This window comes from Homo sapiens, chromosome 18 (assembly GCF_000001405.40).
Source record: "Homo sapiens chromosome 18, GRCh38.p14 Primary Assembly".
Lineage (NCBI taxonomy): Eukaryota > Metazoa > Chordata > Mammalia > Primates > Hominidae > Homo > Homo sapiens.
The window spans coordinates 3,591,468-3,612,294 of NC_000018.10; the positions used below are offsets into that span (position 1 = coordinate 3,591,468).

Genomic DNA, 20,827 nt, shown 5'->3' on the forward strand with positions numbered 1-20,827 from the left:
TCTTTGAGCTCAGGAGTCTGAGACCAGCTAGAGCAACATGGTGAAACCCATCTCCACAAAATTATCCAGGAGTGGTAGAATCCTGCCCCAGCCTTCCAAGTAGGTGGCACCTGTAGTCCCAGCTACTTGGAAGGCTGGGGCGGGAGGATTGCTGAAGCCCAAAAGATTGAGGTTGCAGTGAGCCAAGATCACACCACTCCAGCCTGGCGACAGAGCAAGACTACGTCAAAAATAAAAAACAAAAAATAAAAATAAAAAGACGGGGTGTTTCATTTGGAAAAGAAGAAAGGGGGGTTTTCAATTATTTGGAGGGCTCTTGCTTAGAGGATAGCATGGGCCTGTTTTGTATAAGTCCCCAAAGGAACAACAAAGGCAAGGGCTCAGAGAGGCATAAAGAATAATTCTCCAGGCATTGATTGTCCGTCCATAGAAGGAATATGAGGACCTCATAACAGAGGGAGTTCTCAGCCCCTGGACCTGTTCAAGCACAGACCAGCACATCTTTTGGCTGGGAGGCTATAGCAATTGTACCAACATCTGATAGGGGGCTCAACTAGATGACAAGGTTTCTTTCAAATTGGATGGTTATGATAATGAGTGAAATTTAGACAAGAATTTGCAAACTAGGGAGGGTCCCACAGAGAATGATGCTGAAGAGCTGAAGAAAGAAGCCAAAAAAGGAGGCCAGAGAAAGAGCTCCAACGAGGCTGTCTGGTAGCAATGATGAATGTTCTGCCATCTTGGGAAAGCAGCTGGCACTGATGAGGACAAAATAACTAATAGACAAGTTTGCTGCTGCTGCTTCCAGCCAAGCAGACCCCATAGTTGTGCACTTAACAGTGCATCATAGGGCTCCTGCTCCTTGCGGTGATGTGTTATGCTGGCCGGACTTTCCAACAAATGCCAGACAAATCAGCGGTCTGGCTGGAGTCCTCCACCGGCAAAAATGCGCAAACCCTGGCAACAACAAAGATGATGAGATGAGATTCAGTCCAGACCCGTGACATGCCATTAGATCTTCCTAATCACCAGAGAGCAAATCCTTACTCTGTGTACTGGACACTGTGCTAAGAACTTAATAGACATGGGGGCTGGGTGTGGTGGCTCACACCTGTAATCCCAGCACTTTGGGAGGCTGAAGCATAAGGATCGCTTTAGCCCAGGTGTTGGAGACCAGCCTGGGCAACAGAGTGAGACCTCGTCTCAAAAAAACCCAAACAACAACAACTAGCTGGTCATGGTGGTGCACGCCTGAAGTCTCAGCTACTCGGTAGGCTGAGGTGGGAGGATCACTTGAGCTTGGGAGGTGGAGGCCGCAATGAGCCATGACTGTGCCACTGCACTCCAGCCTAGGTGACAGAGCAAGACCCTGCCTCAAAAAAAAAAAAAAAAAAAAAAAAGAAAAAGAAAGAAAGAAAAAGAAAAAGAAAAAGAAAAAGAAAAAAAAGAAAGAAAAGAAAAGAAAAAGAAGAAAATAGACATGATCTCACATATGTGAAAGATCCCACTATCCCCATTTAACTGATGAAAATATTAAGGCTCAGAGCAGGCAACGGACATCCCTAACTCATCTAGAGATTCAGTGACAGAGTTAGAGTACTCAGGGCTCCAACTCCCATCTGACCATTAACTCAAACCACCTTTGTTTATCTCCCCCGCCCCCCGCCAGTAAACACTCTCTAGTAAACACCTTGTCCACTAAAGCACCGTGGTTTCCACGAGGGACTCCTTCGTGCACAGCCATCCTCACTCTGCAGGAACTCTTAAGTTTCAGTGAATGAATGAATTTGGAGTGGTCAACAAGGGGTGCACAGTTGCAACTTTTAAAATATTGCAGAAGGAGAGAAATGCCACAAAACAAAATGCACATGGAAAAATCACTACCTTATTTCAAAATATTTACAGCTTCACATTTAAGGCCACCCAAAGCGTGGCGGTCAGTGGTGAGAAGGCAGAGATCAGAGGCTGTTGGGGTGGGTCATACACCATGATTCCCGGCCCCCCTCTGGGAGATACAAGGTATCCCACAGTCTTCTCTCCCAGTTACATCCTCCACGGAAACCACAAGATGACTCGCTCAACTTTTTCTAAAGTAGAAAAAAATATGCTTGTGTGTGTGTGTAAGGGGAGGAGAGGGGATGTGAATGAAATGGAGGGTAGTGTAATAATTCCTGTAGTCATAAGACACGCCAGTTGGTAGTTGCTAGTATTCCAGACACTTCCTAACGCCAGACAAATGCCCCAAGCCTCGGCATGTCTGGCCTAGAGATCTATTCAACTGATAGCAGCCGCCTCTTCTGGGGAGAGCAGATCTTTCAGAAAGCACTGGCTGCGCTGCTAATCAAACGCAACATTGTTCTCAGCAAGGAGGAAGAATGGAAAGGTTTGTTTCAGAGTCACAACTTTATTTTTTTTAAAAGGCACCCAAGTTGTTTCAACAAGCTGCTACAAAACTTGGGCTTCCTGAGTGGAGGCTGTTTTGCACAGTGCATGTACTGTACAAAAATCCAGGCAGGGAGGGGTCAGAGAGTTCGTCATTAAAGAAAAAAAAAAAAAAAAGCCCCAGGCACTTGATGCCTGGAAATGATGTCAGACGCAGCCACTCCTCTGTTAGAACTACAGCCAAACAATGCGCAGGCAATCCACAGCAGCTGCCCCTGCAAATGTCAGCGCCAGCCCAGTCAAAAGAGCTTGAAACCTACCAAGCCGGAGGACTGTGCTGTGCCTCTCTCGCCCACATTTTCCCCAAGCACTCTCAGGAACCTGGCAACAGGTAACGTGGCAACCTTTGACTTATAAAAGGGCAAGTGGCACAATCTCAGGGAACAAATGGACTTTTTTTTAAAGCCAGCATCTCCCCCACCACTCCCACACCCCCCTCCCTCCCTCCCTCCCTCCCAACCAAAAGTCTGTAAAAAACAAAACATTGACGCGGGCAGTCCTACTCTCTAGTGTCCCCTTGTGGCCAAGCCTGGAACATCACATCTGTACGTTGCAATCTGTGGATCAGCTACGAGGTAAGTCGCTCTTTGGAAGGGGTGGAGGTCTTTGCTGGACTTGTCTTCCGAAAAGTATGAAGAGTGGAAGTCAAGGCTCAGAATGGCGTCCTTTTTTACCTTATCACCTTAACAAAAACTTCACCTTAGCTGCAGGGTTAAACCTCTGGGTTGGGGCTGGGGATTTTCGTTGTTGTTGTTTTAAAGCAGCAGCCAAGGCCATGTTTTTTAAGGTGGTGAGTTAAACGGAGCAAGAGCTGCGGTAGCCTTTTCCACCCAATCTCTTTCTTCACATCCTAGTCACAGCCAAGGGTAGGGTGGATGGCAGTGAGGATAAACAGCCCAGAAACAGGATTCCTGCAGGGTGGGACTGGCATTTTCCATTTTTATCTGAAGTTGTACTTTGAATGCAGACACCTTTCTCTCAGGCCAGAAGCACTGCTCATTTGTATTGCTGGCTTCCAGTTAGCCTATTTGCAAGGATTACTTAGGATTTCCAGACTGCAGGCCCAGCTACCCAGAGAGTGTGCCTCAAAGCCCCACCTCAAAGCTTTTATCTCTATGTGGCGGGAAACACCCACGAAAATGCCAACGGCGGTATTTGTAACTTGCCTTCTTCCTTTTGGGAACTGCTTTCTGCAGCTCTCTCTGCGTTAGAGGAATAGCTACAGCTGGGAGCTGCTCCAGCCACGCAGGAGGAGAGGGCACCCATTGAGAGGCGGGCACCCCTTCTGTCTCCCTCTGGCTATGTTAACTGGAAACTAGGAAAGGGGTTCAGATCAAAGTAACTGCTGTCTTCAGAAAGTTCCATTCATTAACTAAGTTAGCGGAAATTAAATGGTGTTTGGAGGAAGGTCATTTCAGAAGGCCCAGGGCCAGAGGCTGAGGTCTAAAACTTCTAATCTGGACTTCTATTGAAGTTTGGCAGTAAGTTAAACAGGAAGTTGAAGGCTACCATATGTAAATCCAGTTGTTGCCTGAAATCAGTCATTTCAAGGGAGTATCTTGAAAGGACACAGACTGGGAAACAGGCATGAGAAAAAAAAAAGGAAGTAGACAGACATTTGGCTAGTATGTGCCTGGACCACTTAACACTAAAGATTAGAAACCTAGGGCTCTGAGTAAGAATCATTTGACCAGTAGCTAAAGTGAGTCATGGCCTGCACAGAACTAGGGCACACATGTTGAAGTCAGGATGTTGAGAACATCAGGCTTACTAATTTGCAAGGCAGGAGTGCTGCTTCCAGTAGGGAATGTGATCAGGATTTCACGGCTCATTTTCCCAGCCTTTCCAACAGGTGCAATCAAGTCATCCGTGTACACAAGTGACTGCCCTGTTACATCTGTTAGGATTAAATTTCCATTTGTTCCATTACTTTATATGAAGTGATTTCTACTGCTGAGTCAGACAGAACACTTCCTCTTAGACCTAGGGACTTTTTTCAACATTTTTAACAATGTGTGTGTTTTTCAAAATGTGTCCCAACCAGGTCTGCAGGTCTTCCTGGGTTGAATGGACTGTTTACAGAAGGGGAAGATTCAGGCCCAAGGTCAGGGTTACAGAATTATATAAGGTTTCCTGTTTGGGCAGCTGGTCTAGCAACACCTCTGGTTGGGGCAGACTGGGTCTTGTTGAGAGATAGCATGCCCAGGAGGCTAGGGCAGGGAGAGTGCCAGGAGCAGGAAAGAACATTTTTCTTTTCTTTTTTTTTTTAAGACCGTGTCTTACTCTGTCACCCAGGCTGGGGTGCAGTGGTGCGATCTCGGCTCACTGCAACCTCCGCCTCCCAGGTTCAAACGATTCTCCTGCCTCAGCCTCTCGTGTAGCTGGAATTACAGCCGCCCGCCACCATGCTTAGCTTATTTTTATATTTTTAATAGAGACGGGGTTTCACCATGTGGGCCAGGCTGATCTTGAACTCCTGACCTTAGATGATCTGTCTGCCTCGGCCTCCCAAAGTGCTGGGATTACAGGCTTGAACCACCAAGCCCGGCCTGACATTTTTCTTTTAAATCTTTTATCAACCAGCTTTCATTTCTTGTCAGATGTCACTTTTCAGCAACCTGTTGCTATATTCTCTGTTAGGAGAACTTTTTTTTTTTTTTTCTGGCCAGACTGAGAGAAAGGAATGAAAGGATGGAAGAATTACAAGATCAGGCACTGCTGTCTGTCTGTTCCACGGATGTAACCACAGCACACGCGTGGCTCACGGTACTAGTGTGATAAATGCTTGTTACATGAAGGCGTGAACAGGGATGAGAAGAGACTTCCTGGAGAAACAAAAGGACTAACAATCAGGAAGGGGAGGTGATCGGGGCAGGAGTAAAGTGGACACCTCAGCAAAGCCATTCGCTGTGATCTCTGATTGTGCAGTGTCATGTCCTGTCACCAGAGCCCCCTCGTGTTTGATGTTGGCCAATGCCGCCAGCATGATCTAGCAGGCCAAATCCTAATCTACCATTCTCTGACACCAGCTGGTCCCCTGGGTCGTCCACCCGATGTCCCCCATTCTCCCCACTTGGCCTCCCCCACAGGCTCTCGGCAAAGGACCGTGGGAGGCACCTGTGACACTGCCCTTTTCCTGTGCAGCTGTTTTTCTTCTTCATTCTTTTCACTCCTCGTTACTCTTTTTTTTTTCACTCTCAGCCCACACAAAACTAGGAACTTTGTTATTCTACTTATTTTTCTGTACTCTGTCTGTTTGCACACAGATGGATATCTGAGAGCCAGCGAACTTTCTTTACCTCCTAGTATCATTTCATGAAAATTAGTAGCACCTGCACAATGGGGCCTTGGAGACAGGAATAAAAGGAAAAATCTGGAATGGAATCACATGACGCAACAGGCTATGAAGACTCCCTGCCCGGCTGCTATATGTCTGGTAAACAGAATAAATAGTACTTGAGCATCCCTGACTCTGAGACTGTGGGGTAGCTGGTTGTTTTAAGATGGGACCAGGGTATTGTGCACTTATTGCCAATTCTTGCTTCAGTAAGTGGGGTGGCTGTGCAGAGTGAGTGGCCTGTGTATGAACCAGGGTCCGTCCCATCTAATGAGAGTCCGGTCAGGCTGAGTCCTCACCAAGACTTCAGCGTGGATTCATCAGTAACCTTGGTTCACTGGCAGGCTTGCTGGACTTTGGAGAAAAGGCTGACCCTCCCCCAAAGCAGCCCATTGCTGCCACTGCCCTAGGAACAGAGGGCCTGGAGCCAGGGCTTGACCTGGTACAGGAGCTTTTGCACAAGGCCGGCTCAAACCTCCAAACCTGGGGAAACAGGATGCATGGTGAAGTGAAGAAGAAAGAAAATGCATCCACCGTTCCTTCCTGTTGGTGTCAGCACGATGAGGAATAATTACCTGGATCTGGAAAGCAGGCGTGTGGGAGGCTGCAGGCCCCCCTGATCTGTGTAGTTAGGCACTTAATTTTTCATCCTCCTCCTTCTCTCTGCCCTCCCGAAACCGCCGTTTTCAAAGGAAAAACAGAAAAACGTATCTGGGTAACCCGTGTAATACTGTTTACATCAGCCCACTTGGCCCAGAAAGGATACCAGCTCCTTACTGATGCTCAGATAACAGGGTTAGTGCTTAAAAAAATTATGCCTTGGGCCGGGTGCGGTGGCTCACGCCTATAATCCCAGCACTTTGGGAGGCTGAGGTGGGTGGATCACAAGGTCAAGAGATCAAGACCATCCTGGCCAACCAACATAGTGAACCTGTCTCTACTAAAAATACAAAAAGTAGCTGGGCGTAGTGGCGCATGCCTGTAGTCCCAGCTGCTCGGGAGGCTGAGGCAGGAGAGTCGTTTAGGCCTGGCAGGCGGAGGTTGCAGTGAGCTGAGATTGCGCCACACTGCACTCCAGCCCAGGCGGTGGAGTGAGTCTCCATCTCAAAAAAAAAAATTCTGTCTCATTCATTATCCAACTTTGTCACTGATAGAGAAGGACATAGATCCAGAGAAGAACTTGTCCAGGTGACCCCAGGGCTCTTTCCCCCTCCATTACTTTTTTTTTTTTTTTTTTTTGAGCCAGAGTCTGGCTCTGTCACCCAGGCTGGAGTGCAGTGTCACAATCTTGGCTCACTGCATCCTCTGCCTCCTGGGTTCAAGCTATTCTCCTGACTCAGCCTCCCTAGTAGCTGGGATTACAGGTGCATGCCACCCCGCCCAGCTAATTTTTGTATTTTTAGTAGAGATGAGGTTTTAACTTGTTAGCCAGGCTGGTCTTGAACTCCTGACGTCAAGCGATCTGCCTGCCTTGGCCTCCCAAAGTGCTGGGATTAAGGGCGTGAGCCACCGCGCCCGGTCCCCTCCATTACTCCTTAAGTGTCCCTTAAAGACTGTATTTATTTATTTGAAACAGAGTCTTGCTCTGTCACCCAGGCTGTTGTGCAGTGGCATGATCTTGGCTCACTGCAACCTTCTGCCTCAGCCTCCTGAGTACCTGAGACTACAGGCGGGCGCCACCACACCCGGCTAATGTTTGTCTTTTTGGTAGAGATGGGGGTTTCACCATGTTGGCCAGGCTGGTCTCGAACTCCTGATCTCAAGTGATCTGCCCCCTTCAGCCTCCCAAAGTGCTGGGATTACAGGCGTGAGCCACTGCGCCCAGCAAAGACTGTGTTTAAAATACTACCTTTCTGTTAGGTACTTGTCATTTGCCAAAATTAAATAAAAACAGTCTAGGAACCTAGGAACCTGTGAAGTCAGTACTAAAATCTATACCAATTTACTCCACAAACCCCCATCCTCCTCCTCGTTGGTTGAGTGTTTAATAAAGCCAGGCGCTTTACCTATAGTCTCATTAAATTAAAAACAATCCTGCATAGGAAGTCAGGATCTCAATTTTGCAGATGAAAAGGAGGCTTATCTGGGCATGCCCAGCAAGGTCTGGGGAACGCCCCTTAATGGAGTACTTGAATTTGTCTGCAGGGAGAGGTGGCATCACCGCACTGTAAATAGTTTCCGAGGTCAAGTTTGGCTAGTGGCTTTTAGAATTGGGGCAGAAGGATGCCATCCTACTCCCACCTTCAGAGGCATCTCAGGTTCTGGAGCTCTGTGCTAACTAAGCCCACCTGTGGAGGGTGGCAATGGAGTGGTGACAGGCGTGCAAGGTTTCACGTCTTTAAAGAAAAGACAGCTCCAAGGACAGAGAGTTTTTTGTTGTTTGTTTTGTTTTTTGAGACAGTCTCACTCTGTTGTCAGGCTAGAGTGTAGTGGCGCGATCTCGGCTCACTGCAACCTCCACCTCCCGGGTTCAAGCGATTCCCCTGCCTCAGCCTCCCGAGTAGCTGGGACTACAGGAGGCGCCACCACGCCCGGCTAATTTTGGTATTTTTAGTAGAGATGTAGTTTCACCATGTGGGCCAGGATGGTCTCGATCTCTTGACCTTGTGATCCGCCCACCTCGGCCTCCCAAAATGTTGGGATTACAGGCGTGAGCCACCATTCCCAGCCAATTTTTTTTTTTTTTTTAAAGAGACAGGGTCTCGCTCTGTTGCCAGGGCTGGAGTGCAGTGGTGTGATCATGGCTCACTACATCCTCTAACTCCTGGGCTCAAGCGAACCTCCCACTTTAGCCTCCGGAACAGCTGGAACCACAAGCGCACACCACCACATCCAGCTAAGTTTTAAAAAACTGTTTGTAAAGACAGGGTCTCACTATGTTGCCCAGGGTCAAGGTCAGATTTGTTAATCCTTCTGACATTGTCTCCTGTTGGAGTTCTGGATGTTCATTAGTTCATCACCATGCATGTGATTCACACACTGTACTCAGAAACATTCTTTTTTCTTGTTTTTGTTTTTTTATGAGACGGAGTTTCTCTCTTGTCACCCAGGCTGGAGTGCAATGGCACGCACGATCTCGGCTCACTGCAACCTCCACCTCCCCGGTTCAAGCAATTCTCCTGCCTCAGCCTCCCGAGTAGTGCCACCACTCCCAGCTTATTTTTGTATTAGTAGAGACGGGGTTTCACCATGTTGGCCAGGCTGGTCTCGAACCCCGGACCTCAGGTGATCCACCTGCCTCGGCCTCCCAAAGTGCTGGGATTACAGGCATGAGCCACCGTGCCTGGCCAGAAACATTCTTTTTATTCGTTTTTATTATAATTGTAGTAAGGGCCCTGGTAGGGGATTTGAACTGTTTCTTTCCACAGTGTGGAATGATGTCTATATACATTACAGAATGGAGATATAGATATCTATAGAGATCTATAGATATCTATAGAGATCTATATAGATATCTATAGCTATATAGATATAGAGATATAGATATATATAGATATATAGATATATATAGATATATAGATATATATAGATATATAGATATATATAGATATATAGATATATAGATATATATAGATATATAGATATATATAGATATATATAGATATATAGATATATATAGATATATAGATATATAGATAGATATATAGATATATATAGATATATAGATAGATATAGATATATATAGATATATAGATAGATATATAGATATATATAGATATATAGATAGATATATAGATATAGATATATAGATATATAGATATAGATAGATATATAGATATATAGATATAGAGATAAAGATATAGATAGATATATAGATATATAGATATATAGATAGATATATAGATATATATATTTTTTGAGACAGAGTCTCACCCTGTGGCTCAGGCTAGAGTGCAGTGATGTGATCTCAGCTCACTGCAACCTCCACTTCCCGGGCTAAAGCAATTCTCCCACCTCAGCCACCCAAGTAGCTGGGATTACAGGCACCTGCCACCATGCCAGCTATCTTTTGTATTTTTAGTAGAGATGGGGTTTCACCATGTTGATCAGGCTGGTCTCGAACTCCTGACCTCAAGCAATCCACCCGCCTCGGCCTCCCAAAATGCTGGGTTTACAGGTGTGAGCCACTGCGCCTGGCCCAGAATGGAGTAATCTGATGTGGTCTTACAGATAAACACTTCACATATGCAAGGGTGTGTGTGTGTGTGTGTGTGTGTTTTAACTCATCTTTTCCATTCTCTTCCCAACCCCTCCTTTCCCATCTGCTACCCTCAGGCTACAGTTCGACTTCACAGATAGAAAAATAAAACCTACGGCTGGGCATGGTGGTTCACGCCTATAATCCCAGCACTTTGGGAGGCCGAGGTGGGCCAATCGTTTGAGGTCGGGAATTTGAGACCAGCCTGACCAACATGGTGAAACCCTGTCTCTACCAAAAATACAAATAAATTAGCCGGTCATGGTGGCCTGCCCCAGTAATCCCAGCTACTTGGGAGGCTGAGGCAGGAGAATCGCTTGAACCAAGGAAGCGGAGGTTGCAGCAAGCCCAGATCACGCCACTGCACTCCAGCCTGGGTGACAGAGCGAGACTCCATCTCGGAAAAAAAAAAAAATTAGCTGGGCGTGGTGGCGAGTACCTGTAATCCCAGCTACTCAGGAGGCTGAGGCAGGCGAATCGCTTGAACCCGGGAAGCGGAGATTGCAGTGAGTGGAGATCGGGCCACTGCACTCCAGCCTGGGCTACAGTGCGAGACTCCTTCTCAAATGAATGAATAAATAAATAAATAAAACATATGATTTACCTTGGCCCACTATAATTTTGCACTACAGGGTGGCAGCTCCGTGCTATGTACAAGCCGGGTGCCGCGCAGCTTTGATGCTGCCCAGGACACTGACCTAAAAGTGTGTCTGCAAGTACTCTCACCCTTCATTCATTCAAGCTTTGCCTAGTACACACTTTTTGGAAACCATTTCCCAAAATGCATGCTTTTATACCACATTTCCCACCCACCAGATAACCGAGACAGTGCACGTAACACAGTTTGAATTAAAGAATAATCTTGTTTTGGCCGGGCGCGGTGGCTCACGCCTGTCATCCCAGCAATTTGGGAGGCCGAGGCGGGCGGATCACGAGGTCAGGAGATCGAGACCATCCTGGCTAAGACAGTGAAACCCCGTCTCTGCTAAAAATACAAAAAATTAGCCGGGCGTGGTGGCGGGCGCCTGTAGTCCCAGCTACTCGGGAGGCTGAGGCAGGAGAATGGCGTGAACCCGGGAGGCGGAGCTTGCAGGGAGCCGAGATCGCGCCACCGCACTCCAGCCTGGGCGACAGAGCGAGACTCCGTCCAAAAAAAAAAAAAAAAAAAAAAACAAAGAAACTTGTGTTGGTAGACAAATAAATTCATGAACTGCAGATATAAATAGATCGAGCACTAGATATGTTTATTATCTCCAGCACAGCACTGCCTCCTGGTGCGGATTATATTCCAGTTTTCAAAAGGAACCATAGAAGATACAAGCAATACGATTTTATTTTGGAGGGATTTCTAGCATCATAGGTCAAAGACGTTATTAAGTATCGACTCTGAAAAAGCAACTATAAATACTGCAAATCGACTAAGCCAGAGGACGCAAATATATCCTGCGTGTTGTGTGCTGGACTGTGGTTGAGACTTCATGGTCGTGCTCTGGGCTCATGGGGGCAGCTGACTGCTCATAATTAAGATTGCTGTTGCCGCTGCCTGTGTTCCAAAGAGAACACAAGAGGACAGAGCTAAGGTGTAGGAATGCGGAAGAACTTGCAGAAACTAGAGCTAGTCTTCGGATTGAAATGAATTACCAATAAAGGGTTGGGAAATGGATCAAGGAGAGGGAAGCGTTTTGATGGTCCCTGCTCCGAGGTTCAGCCCATTTGCAGTTGCTGATAACCTTGTCAGGTCACCAGATAAAGGCAAGTCTTGTCACCCTCAGGCACCTGGCTGCGAAGTAATAAAACGGTTGCCTTATCATCTAAAGGTGGAGTGAGTCAAACCTCAGCCCAGGGTAATTATAGTAAACTGAAATTGCCTGTCCTTTACAAAAAAAAAGGCGGAGGGAGAGAGAAAGGAAAAGGGCTTAAGGCAGGAAATTGTGTTTGTCTTTCTCCTTGGATTTAAAAAAGAAACGAGCAAAACAGCAAAAAGTTTTCCAGGGAGTGAGAAAAGCAGCCCGGCTAGACTCCCCTCACCCTGGGTTAACAGGATTGCCGACAGATCAGGCCCACGTGATGGTCAAGAAAAGAGGCTCAAGCTGATGAAAATCCAAGAAATCTTCTTAGGAGCCTTCCTTTCTAAATGTAAATGACTGAGTCATTGCTTTGCTAAGGAGGGAAGGAAGTTACAATCACACCAAGTGACTCATTCATTGCTGTTAGCTCCGGCAGTTGGATGAAAAGTTTTAGCAAAAGCAGCAACAAATGTACTTTAAATACTAGCACAGTAAGGGAATTCCTGTCTTTCAGGATGAATGCCATCCACACAAAAGAGCTCCTGTTGACATCTCATTTACAATCTCCCCCAGGACACAGACAAGACCCTTTCAATAAATCCAGCTCAGAAACACCTATTGTTCAAAATCTTCAACTCGCCACAGGCTACCACCACTCCCTATGGCTTTGCAAAATTAAAGATTTAGAAGAAGGATGGGGCGGTGGAAGCTATGAAAAGAGGCAGGAAAAAAGTTCCTTTGACCCGATGCTGTCAGAGAGCGTGCATGAAGAAGAAAGTTAATGGTATTTCCATTTATATAAGAAGCGCCTAAGAAATGCCTGTGACGTTCGTGAACTAGTGATTGTGAATTCCAAATTTGATGCCAACTTTATGTGTAAAGAAGCTAACTCCTGCCAACATCGTGGCTGAATGAACAGCTGGGACTATGCTTAACCCATTCCCAGCTTATAAAAGCCCCATGGCAGCTGCAGTGAAGCATCAGGTGAGTCTGATATGGGCTGTCTGTTCCCTCGGGGATTTGAATCTTGCCTGTCCTTTCCAAGTGGAGTCTTGTGCCTAAGTGCTAGAGCCCACTCCTTCCTCCCCACTGATTCCCTTCTTTCCATTTCTGCCATTTCCCTTCTTCTTTTAATAAAACTTGGACATTTTCTGGAGTTACATGTTTTTCTTGGGATGTACTTCAAATTAAGGAGCATATTTATGTTTACAAACACACGCACACGCACACACACACACACATACACACAAAAGAATCGGGCATTTCTCAAGTGGTGATACCTTTACCCTCCTTATTTTTCACTTAAGGTTCCCCATCTCAGTACACGATCCCTTTATCTGCCCCGAGTTCAAGCCAAAACTCAGCATTATCTGTAAGCACTCCTTTGGGTCCTTCTCTCCAGTCTCTTAAATCCCTGTGGAGTCATTCCACATCCTTCTGTGCATCTTTCTGCTTCCCTAGATCCTACAGTTTTAATGTTATCTTCTGGAGTATCACAGCAACTTCCTTAACTCAAGGTTTCTCCAACTCTGAGTTGTCACTTAGTGGGTAGTGAAATAAGATGAGTCATGCAGTTTCACCATTTAGAAAATGCAAAATGTTAGGTAGAAAATGTCAGCGTACATCCTGTGTAGAAAAAGTAAGTCTTGTTGTGAAACCTCTTTCAGTTTGTGTGTGCGTGTCCCCGGATCTGTGTACATACTGGGCAACAGGGAAAATGCATTTTGTAGGTCAAAATATTTGGAGAAATACGTTTCTACTTAGTCTCACTGGGTCTGTCTTTTCTGTTTCCAAACTATTGTGTACACTTAGAGGAAGAGTGGAAACCCTCCAGCAGGTCCTGTCAGTCTGCAGTTTACAAATCTCCCCTCAGGATAAGAGTTCCTATTCACCCTTTTCAGGTCTCAGAATTCTGCCTCCTCCTGACCACTTTTCCTTTAGTTATTCAACCCATCAAGTTCCCTGGGTTTGCATGTGCAATCGATTCCTCGTTAGGGATATTCTTTCCTCTGGTTTTTCCTTCAGATACGAGCTTACGTTCGACCTCTTCCAAGAAGACGTCAGGAATGTCCTTCTGAATGCCTTTCCTAGTTCTCATGAGAACACAGCAGTTTTTAATCAGGCAGAGCACTTATTACATTATAATTATCTTCTTGGTTCCCAACTGAACTTTTAAGTTCCAAGTGGGCAGTCAGTAAATATTTCTTGGTGCATCAAATGCTCCACATTTTACACAGTTAACGTTTGCTGCCTACAAACCAATTTGGATAGTTACTTTAAAGTATCTTATCTCTAGTTCTCAAAGCTTTAGTTTCCTTTAACACTTAAGTATCTCTTGCATATTTTCTTTTCAAACACTGCTTCGTTAATTTGCAAATTCATTGGACTCCTTTCCTTAAAAATCAAAATAATAAAACTTCAAGAAAGCTGTTGTGACTTCTGGCCTCTCTGAATGTCAGATCTGTAAACAGGAAGGGCAGAACTCTGATCTCTAAAATCCTCTCCAGTCCACTACTCTGACCCTCTAACTTGAGCTTTCTCCAGAGAGGTTAAGTGACTTTTCCAAGGTCACGGAGCTTTTTAGCGGCAGGAGATTTTTTTTGCCTGTCTATAGATTTTTAAAAGCTAGCCGTAAACAAAAACCAAAAAGTTTACCGAGGACACTGAGTGCCACTAACAAGTTTGTGTGAAAGAGAATTCATGAAGAAATAGGAGACTTCAAACAAAACACTAAAATCAACAACAACCATAATGGATTCCTGCCTAGGCAGGTCGGGACATTAAGAAAAAAAAAGGTCTCGCTGTGGTTTGCTATTAGATGGAGAGATATTCAGATTTCATTTTTAAAATGAAAGTGAAAGATTAAAGAATTTTGGCATCCTGACCCTTTGTAGAGGCCATTCCTCAGAGGCACAGTGTGCAGACAAAACTATCCTAGAGGTGCCAACCAGAACAAGCTCTAATGTCTGTCTCATTCCTGAGCCTTGGTGCCTTGACGAGTCACCACGCTCAGGAAGAAAGCTGCAACTCGCCAGGATGAAACTGGGCCCCGCTTCTTAGAACCCTTCCCCGCTTCCTTCCCCTGCCAGAACCACACTAAAGAATTCGCTGCTCTCAAAGACAGACGTTTTCATTACTTCCTTACATTATAGAGTTTGGGCTTAGATAACCAGTTGTATGAGTAGTAAGTCAAACAGAAATACAACAGCAATAATACTTATTTCTTTCCCTAATTGTAATATGTTGTACTTCATAAGCCATCATATGCATTTGTTGCTTTTCCCCCTTCTACACTGACCAGTAGTTTTGCTTTGTTTGACAGAAAAGTATAGTAAGAAGAAACTGAATTTGAAGTGGATTCTTACAAAGGAAAAAGAAAATCACTATTGTAACTATACCAAATTACTATGTATGTGAGCTCCCAGCTTTGACATCAAGTCGTTACAGCCACGTAATGGGATTACGGGTGATTTTTACTTTATTCTTTGGGCTTCTCTGAATTTTCCTATATTTTGAAAAAGCACCTGCATTATTTTGTAATTATAAAAAAGTATAAATAAGAATTATACACACTATTATTTCTTCACTGCTATGACATGACTAGATTACAATTTTTTTCTTTTTGAGATGACTTTCGGTCTTGTTTCCCAGGCTGGAGTGCAGTGGCACGACCTCGGCTCATTGCAACCTCCACCTCCCGGGTTCAAGCAATTCTCCTGCCTCAGCCTCCCCAGTAGCTGGGATTACAGGCACCTGCCACCACACCTGGCTAATTTTAGTAGAGAAGGGGTTTCGCCAAGCTGGCCAGGCTGGTCTCGAACTCCTGACTTCAGGTGATTGATCCACCTGCCTCGGCCTCCCAGAGTGCTGGGATTAGAGGCATGAGCCATCGCGCCTGGCCTAGATTATGGAATTTTTGTATTACCATGTATGTTGCCGTGTAATTTTTGTTTTGAACCTTTTTTATTTTTCTTTTAATTCCTTTGAGACAGGATCTTGTTCTGTTACCCAGGCTCACTGCAACAAGGTGATTTTCCCGCCTCAGCCTCCAGAGTAGCTGGACTACAGGCCGGTGCCACCACACCCAGATAATATTTTATATTTTTTGTAGAAATGGGGTTTTGTTTTGTTGCCCAGGCTGGTCTTGAGCTCCTGGGCTCAAGCGATCCACCCTCCTCAGCCTCCCAAAATACTGGGATTACAGGCATAAGCCACTGCACCCGGCCTTGAGCATTTGTTTTTTGAAGGAAATTTTATATGATTACCACATAAAAAAGGAATACTAAAAATCTAACATTATTTGATATCTCACTGTCTTTGAAAACTTAAGGAACATGGACCCATACAAGGCAGCCAAATATTGGCCGGTAACTCCTTTACAACTGGGCTGCAGCATATTTTATTACCTTCTCCTGACAATTTCTTATCTGGCTGCTTATCATTTCCAGAACATACCATCCTTTTGCATGCCTTTACGCCAGTGGCAAACATGGTTGTTTGCCTCCTCATAACCATTCTCTCTATCCTGCTTGCTAATGAGACCCCAGTACTGTTGATCTTTTCCACACAGCTGTGAGTTTTAGGGGTGGCTAAGCCCCTCCCTACACGTGGAGGCTGAATCTTCACCAGACTACCAGACAAAGAGATGAGAAGGGAGGTTGGATGGGAATGTTCTGGGAAAGTTTACCTCACTATTTAAAGCCACCCAAGTCAGGGACATCCTTTTTCTTCCTCTGGACTTTGTCATCTGCAAGGGATGCTGGAACTGTGGCTGCCATCGGGGGACCACAGAAAGTACTGGCCTAAGAAGACCAGCTCAGCTGGGCGTGGTGGCCTGTAATCCCAGCATTTTGGGAGGATGCGGGCAGATCATGTGAAGTCGGGAGTTCAAGACCAGCCTGACCAACATGGAGAAGCCCTGTCTCTACTAAAAATACAAAATTAGCCGGGTGTGGTGGCGCATGCCTGTAATTCTAGCTACTGGGGAGGCTGAGGCAGGAGAATTGCCTGAATCCGAGAGGTGGAGGTTACAGTGAGCGGAGAGGGCGCCACTGCACTCCCGTCTGGGCCAATGAGAGTGAAACTCCATCTCAAAAAAAAAAAAAGATGAGCTCACACTGGGGATGACGGGTGGAAGAAAGGCCAGCTGTAATGAACTTGCTGGTTTTGGTAAATTCATTGCCTTACCCTTGGACCTGGTATTGTTTGAGAAAATAAATTATTTTGCCATCTTAGTCACTTTGATTTTATTTTTTAAGTTGTATTTGTTTGCTTATTGATTTGATTGGCTTGGCACTTATGCAGTGACTTTGTAGATGCTGTCTATGTGTTGGGGCTCAGAACATAATGCCCTAAAATATGGTGACTTGGCAATTGAGAAAACTGAAGGAGCAAGAAGGTCACTCACTGTGAGAGCTGGCCACGAGGGAATGCTCTGACCTATCTTTGTCTGAAAGTAGGTCATAAGATGCTCATTCCAGAGAGGTCTCGCTCTATACCCAGAGGCGAAGAAGGAACAGACAGCTCTTGCCCTACTGTCCCCCAGTTGTTTGTTACCGTTAGATAATAAATTTATTCTAGTTGAAATCTGAAATACTCCAAAGTCTGAAACTTTTCATTTTTTTGAGACAGAGTCTTGCTCTGTCACCCAGGCTGGAGTGTAGTGCACGATCTCAGCTCACTGCAACCTCCACCTCCCAGGTTCAATGATCCTCCTGCCTCAGCCTCCCAAGTAGCTGGGATTACAGGCATGTGCCACCACGCCTGGCTAATTTTTATACTTTTAGTAGAGACAGGGTTTCACCATGTTGGCCATGTTGGTCTCAAACTCCTGAACTCAAGTGAGCCTCGGCCTCCCAAAGTGCTGGGATTACAGGCGTGAGCTGCTGCACCCAGCCTGATCTGTAATACTCTCCCTTGCAGTGTCCTCAGCCTCCCAAGTAGCTGGGACTGCAGGTGTGCACCACCACAACCAGCCAATTTTTAAACATTTTTTTGTAGAGATATGGTCTCACTATGTTGCCCAGGCTAGTCTCAAATTCCTGGGCTCAAGTGATCCTCCCACCTTGGCCTCCCAAAGTACTGGGATTTGAGGTGTGATCCACCTCACCCGGGCCTGAGTCTTCCTTTGGAAGGCTGCTGTATCATGTGAAACTTATGTTAAATAAATTTGCTTATTTTTCTGTTACTAATCTGTCTTCTGTGATAGGAGTCTTAGCCATGAACCTAGCGATGGGTGTGGAATAGATATTTCTTCCACACGCTAGAAAAGGCTGTGTCTGCCTGGTGCAAATCCTGACCTGCCAGTTACAAGCTACTTAACTTTACACTATTAAATCATCTTTTCCTGAGTTTCCTCATCTGTTGAGTTAGGATAACAGCACCTATCTCATAGTGTGATGCGGTGAGCGAAGAGGTGAATGTAGGGAAAGGGGATAGAGTGTTCCACTTACCCTGTGACATATAGGAATTAGGTGCTCTTCTTTTTTCTTTCCTTCCTAGATTATGTGATGCAACAAAATTCAAATATGAAAACCATCTCGGAGGCCGGGCGCGGTGGCTCACGCCTTTAATCCCAGCACTTTGGGAGGCCGAGGTGGGTGGATCATTTGAGGTCAGAAGTTCAAGACCAGCCTGGCCAACACGGTGAAACCCTGTCTCTACTAAAAATACAAAAATTAACTGGGCGTGGTGGCACATGCCTGTAATCCCAGCTACTCGGGAGGCTGAGGCAGGAGAATTGCTTGAACCTGGGAGGCGGAGGTTGCAGTGAGCCGAGATCACGCCATTGTTCTCCAGCCTGGGCAACAAGAGCAAAACTCTGTCTCAAAAATAAAATAAAAAATTGCTTTAAAAAATAAAAATTCATCTCATCGCTGTTCTCAATTCATATGTCCTCTCCTTCGAGAGGGCTTTAAAAAAACTAAAACTATTTTACCTCAAAATATACTTCTTTGGCATATTTTTGAGATGGCTGTTCAGAGGGCCCACAGGCAGGAATAGCCCTGCCAAGTTGCCATTTGTGGAGGAGACGTACATCTGCAGAGAAAATCTGCAGCAATGAAATAAACAGCTAGGCTTTTTCTGAGGCCCTCCGCCTATCCAGACCTAGGAGAGATTAACTGAGTCTGACACCTTTGAAAATGTGACAGAGAAACACTTAACCACAGACTACCTTCTGTTCTCTCTGAGGACTGCTACCTGTGAGATTTAACCCACCTGTGCCCTCACCTTCCCTCTCCCCTCCCTGCCATAACCTATTTTGCCATGCTCTGAGTCCCTACTCCTCAGTAACATCAAGATGGTATAAAAGCATCAACTCAGCCAGGGGCAGTAGCTCACACCTGTAATCCTAGCACTTTGGGAGGACAAGGTGGGCAGATCCCTTGAGCCCAGAAGTTAAAGACCAGCCTGGCAAGCATGGCAAAATGCTGTCTACTAAAAATACAAAAAAAAAAAATAGCCAGATGTTGTGGCACATGCCTGTAATCCCAGCTACTTGGGAGGCTGAGGCAGGAGAATCACTTGAACCCCGGAGATGGAGGCTGCAGTGAGCTGAGATCACGCCACTGCACTCCAGCCTGGGTGACAGTGAGACTCTGTCCCTCAAAAAAATAAAAAAAGATGGTATAAAAGTATTAACTGTATGGTCTTTTTTTTTTTTGAGTTTTCATATGTATTTTTTTCCTATGGCAGAAGAGTTTTCATAATTTGTATGACTCATGCACATGTGTGCACGTTAGCGAAATTTGTATGCCAGCCATGTGTGGCATAAGCCTGTAGTCTCAGTTACTCAGAGGCTGAGGCGGGAGGATTGCTTGAGCCCAGGAGGTCGAGGCTGCTGTGAGCTATGATCGCACCACTGCACTCTACCCTGGGCGATAGAGCAAGACCCTGTCTTTAAAAAAAAAAAGTGTATACTTTTTTTTCCTGTTAATTTACTATATGTTTGTTTTATAGACTCAAATTATCAAGGCTTCAGGGGGAAAATGTAAACTTCCCTACAGCTCCCCTGATCACCCAGCTTACAGCAGCCTCACACCCTCCCATCCCAGGCCCGCATCCCCCTAACTGATTTGAGATGCCTGGAGAAAATAAGATTGCTGCTCCATCTTTTATAAACTACAAGTTTTGGGGTCGGGGCAGTGCAAAGTTGCAGCTTGCTCATTCAACCCAGTCCTGACCGGCTCTACCACTGCACTCGCCCCAGCCCTCCACAGCCTTCCAACGGCAGCTGTCTCCAGATTCCCTACGTTCTAGTTAGCAGCCTTCACCCTCCCCATGACCAAGGCCCCACGAAGTCTTTCCAAAGCCCCTGCTTGTCATTTCTGTTAACGCGTCCCCGCCTCCCACCTCGAAATTACATAGCAGGACCCGCTGCAGCCCCTGCTTCCTTGCACCTTGGAACATGGCAGAACTTACCACGCGTTTCTCAGGGCTTGTATGGTGGACCCCTGCCAGTGGTTTCAAACCTTTTCCGCACCTTCTCTATCACCCTCCAGTTCAGAAAAGACAAAAAGGAAACCCCAAAGAAAATCCAAACAAAAAAGCTTACAAGTATGTTTCTCTTTGCCTCCATAGTCAGCACTAATTATTTCCAGCTGGGGTAGAGAGCAGGGTGTGGATGGGACCAAGTCCTGTTGCTAAGTTCAAGTACTTGAGAATTTAACATCCCAGATCCTCTCCAAGCTCTGCTGCAGACCCCTCAACTATATTCCCCTAGCTTACCATGGTAACAAGCCAGAGGGCTAGCCCTAAGTGTATCCACTTACATTACTAAAGCGCTATCAAATGAACAAATAATTCCCTTTGCTTTTCATGCCTGAAAGGCAATATTGTATGATGTTTAAGAATATGGCACAGTTCTGTCGTCCCAGCTGCTTGGAAGGCTGAGGTGGGATGATTGATTGAGCCCAGGAGTTTGAGTCCAGCCTGGGCAACATAGCAAGATCCGATCTCAAAATATTAAAAATAATGTAAGTTCAGGAGGCCGACCTTGATTTAAAAGTGTGTTACCTAGGGAAGGTTGCTGAATCTCTATAAACATCTGGTTTTTATTGTCTA

General features: G+C 45.7%; 1 protein-coding gene and 2 long non-coding RNA genes across 35 annotated transcripts in view, besides 13 other annotated features; 2 read left to right on the forward strand and 1 right to left on the reverse strand.

Moving 5' to 3' along the window:
• Positions 1-20,827, reverse strand: part of DLGAP1 (DLG associated protein 1) — a 959,276-nt gene that overhangs the window by 95,436 nt on the left and 843,013 nt on the right. The window lies entirely within an intron of this gene.
• Positions 2,287-2,406: an enhancer, noted in NCBI's record as "active region_13050". NCBI's record gives its function as "activates an Ori minimal core promoter by ATAC-STARR-seq in GM12878 lymphoblastoid cells {active_cell/tissue: GM12878}" and the evidence as "EXISTENCE:reporter gene assay evidence [ECO:0000049][PMID:35858748]".
• DLGAP1-AS1 (DLGAP1 antisense RNA 1) lies at positions 2,647-5,912 on the forward strand. The gene is made up of 3 exons (NR_024101.1): positions 2,647-2,773; positions 2,953-3,017; positions 5,112-5,912. It is a non-coding gene; the product is annotated as a DLGAP1 antisense RNA 1 (long non-coding RNA).
• Positions 3,404-3,698: a silencer, noted in NCBI's record as "tiled region #8249; HepG2 Repressive non-DNase unmatched - State 1:Tss". NCBI's record gives its function as "represses a minimal TATA promoter and a strong SV40 promoter by Sharpr-MPRA in HepG2 cells {active_cell/tissue: HepG2}" and the evidence as "EXISTENCE:reporter gene assay evidence [ECO:0000049][PMID:27701403]".
• Positions 3,819-4,789: an enhancer, noted in NCBI's record as "H3K27ac-H3K4me1 hESC enhancer chr18:3595284-3596254 (GRCh37/hg19 assembly coordinates)". NCBI's record gives its function as "activates a minimal SCP1, AML or CMV promoter by ChIP-STARR-seq in primed H9 embryonic stem cells {active_cell/tissue: H9 hESC(primed)}" and the evidence as "EXISTENCE:reporter gene assay evidence [ECO:0000049][PMID:30033119]".
• Positions 3,967-4,066: an enhancer, noted in NCBI's record as "active region_13051". NCBI's record gives its function as "activates an Ori minimal core promoter by ATAC-STARR-seq in GM12878 lymphoblastoid cells {active_cell/tissue: GM12878}" and the evidence as "EXISTENCE:reporter gene assay evidence [ECO:0000049][PMID:35858748]".
• Positions 4,790-5,761: an enhancer, noted in NCBI's record as "H3K27ac-H3K4me1 hESC enhancer chr18:3596255-3597226 (GRCh37/hg19 assembly coordinates)". NCBI's record gives its function as "activates a minimal SCP1, AML or CMV promoter by ChIP-STARR-seq in primed H9 embryonic stem cells {active_cell/tissue: H9 hESC(primed)}" and the evidence as "EXISTENCE:reporter gene assay evidence [ECO:0000049][PMID:30033119]".
• Positions 10,496-11,290: an enhancer, noted in NCBI's record as "NANOG-H3K27ac-H3K4me1 hESC enhancer chr18:3601961-3602755 (GRCh37/hg19 assembly coordinates)". NCBI's record gives its function as "activates a minimal SCP1, AML or CMV promoter by ChIP-STARR-seq in primed H9 embryonic stem cells {active_cell/tissue: H9 hESC(primed)}" and the evidence as "EXISTENCE:reporter gene assay evidence [ECO:0000049][PMID:30033119]".
• Positions 11,291-12,085: an enhancer, noted in NCBI's record as "OCT4-NANOG-H3K27ac-H3K4me1 hESC enhancer chr18:3602756-3603550 (GRCh37/hg19 assembly coordinates)". NCBI's record gives its function as "activates a minimal SCP1, AML or CMV promoter by ChIP-STARR-seq in naive and primed H9 embryonic stem cells {active_cell/tissue: H9 hESC(naive and primed)}" and the evidence as "EXISTENCE:reporter gene assay evidence [ECO:0000049][PMID:30033119]".
• Positions 11,291-13,060: a biological region, named in NCBI's record as "P300/CBP strongly-dependent group 1 enhancer GRCh37_chr18:3603326-3604525".
• Positions 11,861-13,060: an enhancer, noted in NCBI's record as "P300/CBP strongly-dependent group 1 enhancer chr18:3603326-3604525 (GRCh37/hg19 assembly coordinates)". NCBI's record gives its function as "activates an origin of replication core promoter dependent on BRD2, BRD4, P300/CBP, MED14 and CDK7 cofactors, with strong dependence on P300/CBP, by STARR-seq in HCT116 cells {active_cell/tissue: HCT116}" and the evidence as "EXISTENCE:reporter gene assay evidence [ECO:0000049][PMID:35650434]".
• Positions 12,086-12,879: an enhancer, noted in NCBI's record as "OCT4-NANOG-H3K27ac hESC enhancer chr18:3603551-3604344 (GRCh37/hg19 assembly coordinates)". NCBI's record gives its function as "activates a minimal SCP1, AML or CMV promoter by ChIP-STARR-seq in naive and primed H9 embryonic stem cells {active_cell/tissue: H9 hESC(naive and primed)}" and the evidence as "EXISTENCE:reporter gene assay evidence [ECO:0000049][PMID:30033119]".
• On the forward strand, positions 12,270-18,622 carry DLGAP1-AS2 (DLGAP1 antisense RNA 2). Its single transcript, NR_119377.1, has 3 exons — positions 12,270-12,748; positions 15,087-15,173; positions 18,266-18,622. It is a non-coding gene; the product is annotated as a DLGAP1 antisense RNA 2 (long non-coding RNA).
• Positions 13,257-13,326: an enhancer, noted in NCBI's record as "active region_13052". NCBI's record gives its function as "activates an Ori minimal core promoter by ATAC-STARR-seq in GM12878 lymphoblastoid cells {active_cell/tissue: GM12878}" and the evidence as "EXISTENCE:reporter gene assay evidence [ECO:0000049][PMID:35858748]".
• Positions 14,605-14,674: an enhancer, noted in NCBI's record as "active region_13053". NCBI's record gives its function as "activates an Ori minimal core promoter by ATAC-STARR-seq in GM12878 lymphoblastoid cells {active_cell/tissue: GM12878}" and the evidence as "EXISTENCE:reporter gene assay evidence [ECO:0000049][PMID:35858748]".
• Positions 19,486-19,996: an enhancer, noted in NCBI's record as "H3K27ac-H3K4me1 hESC enhancer chr18:3610951-3611462 (GRCh37/hg19 assembly coordinates)". NCBI's record gives its function as "activates a minimal SCP1, AML or CMV promoter by ChIP-STARR-seq in naive H9 embryonic stem cells {active_cell/tissue: H9 hESC(naive)}" and the evidence as "EXISTENCE:reporter gene assay evidence [ECO:0000049][PMID:30033119]".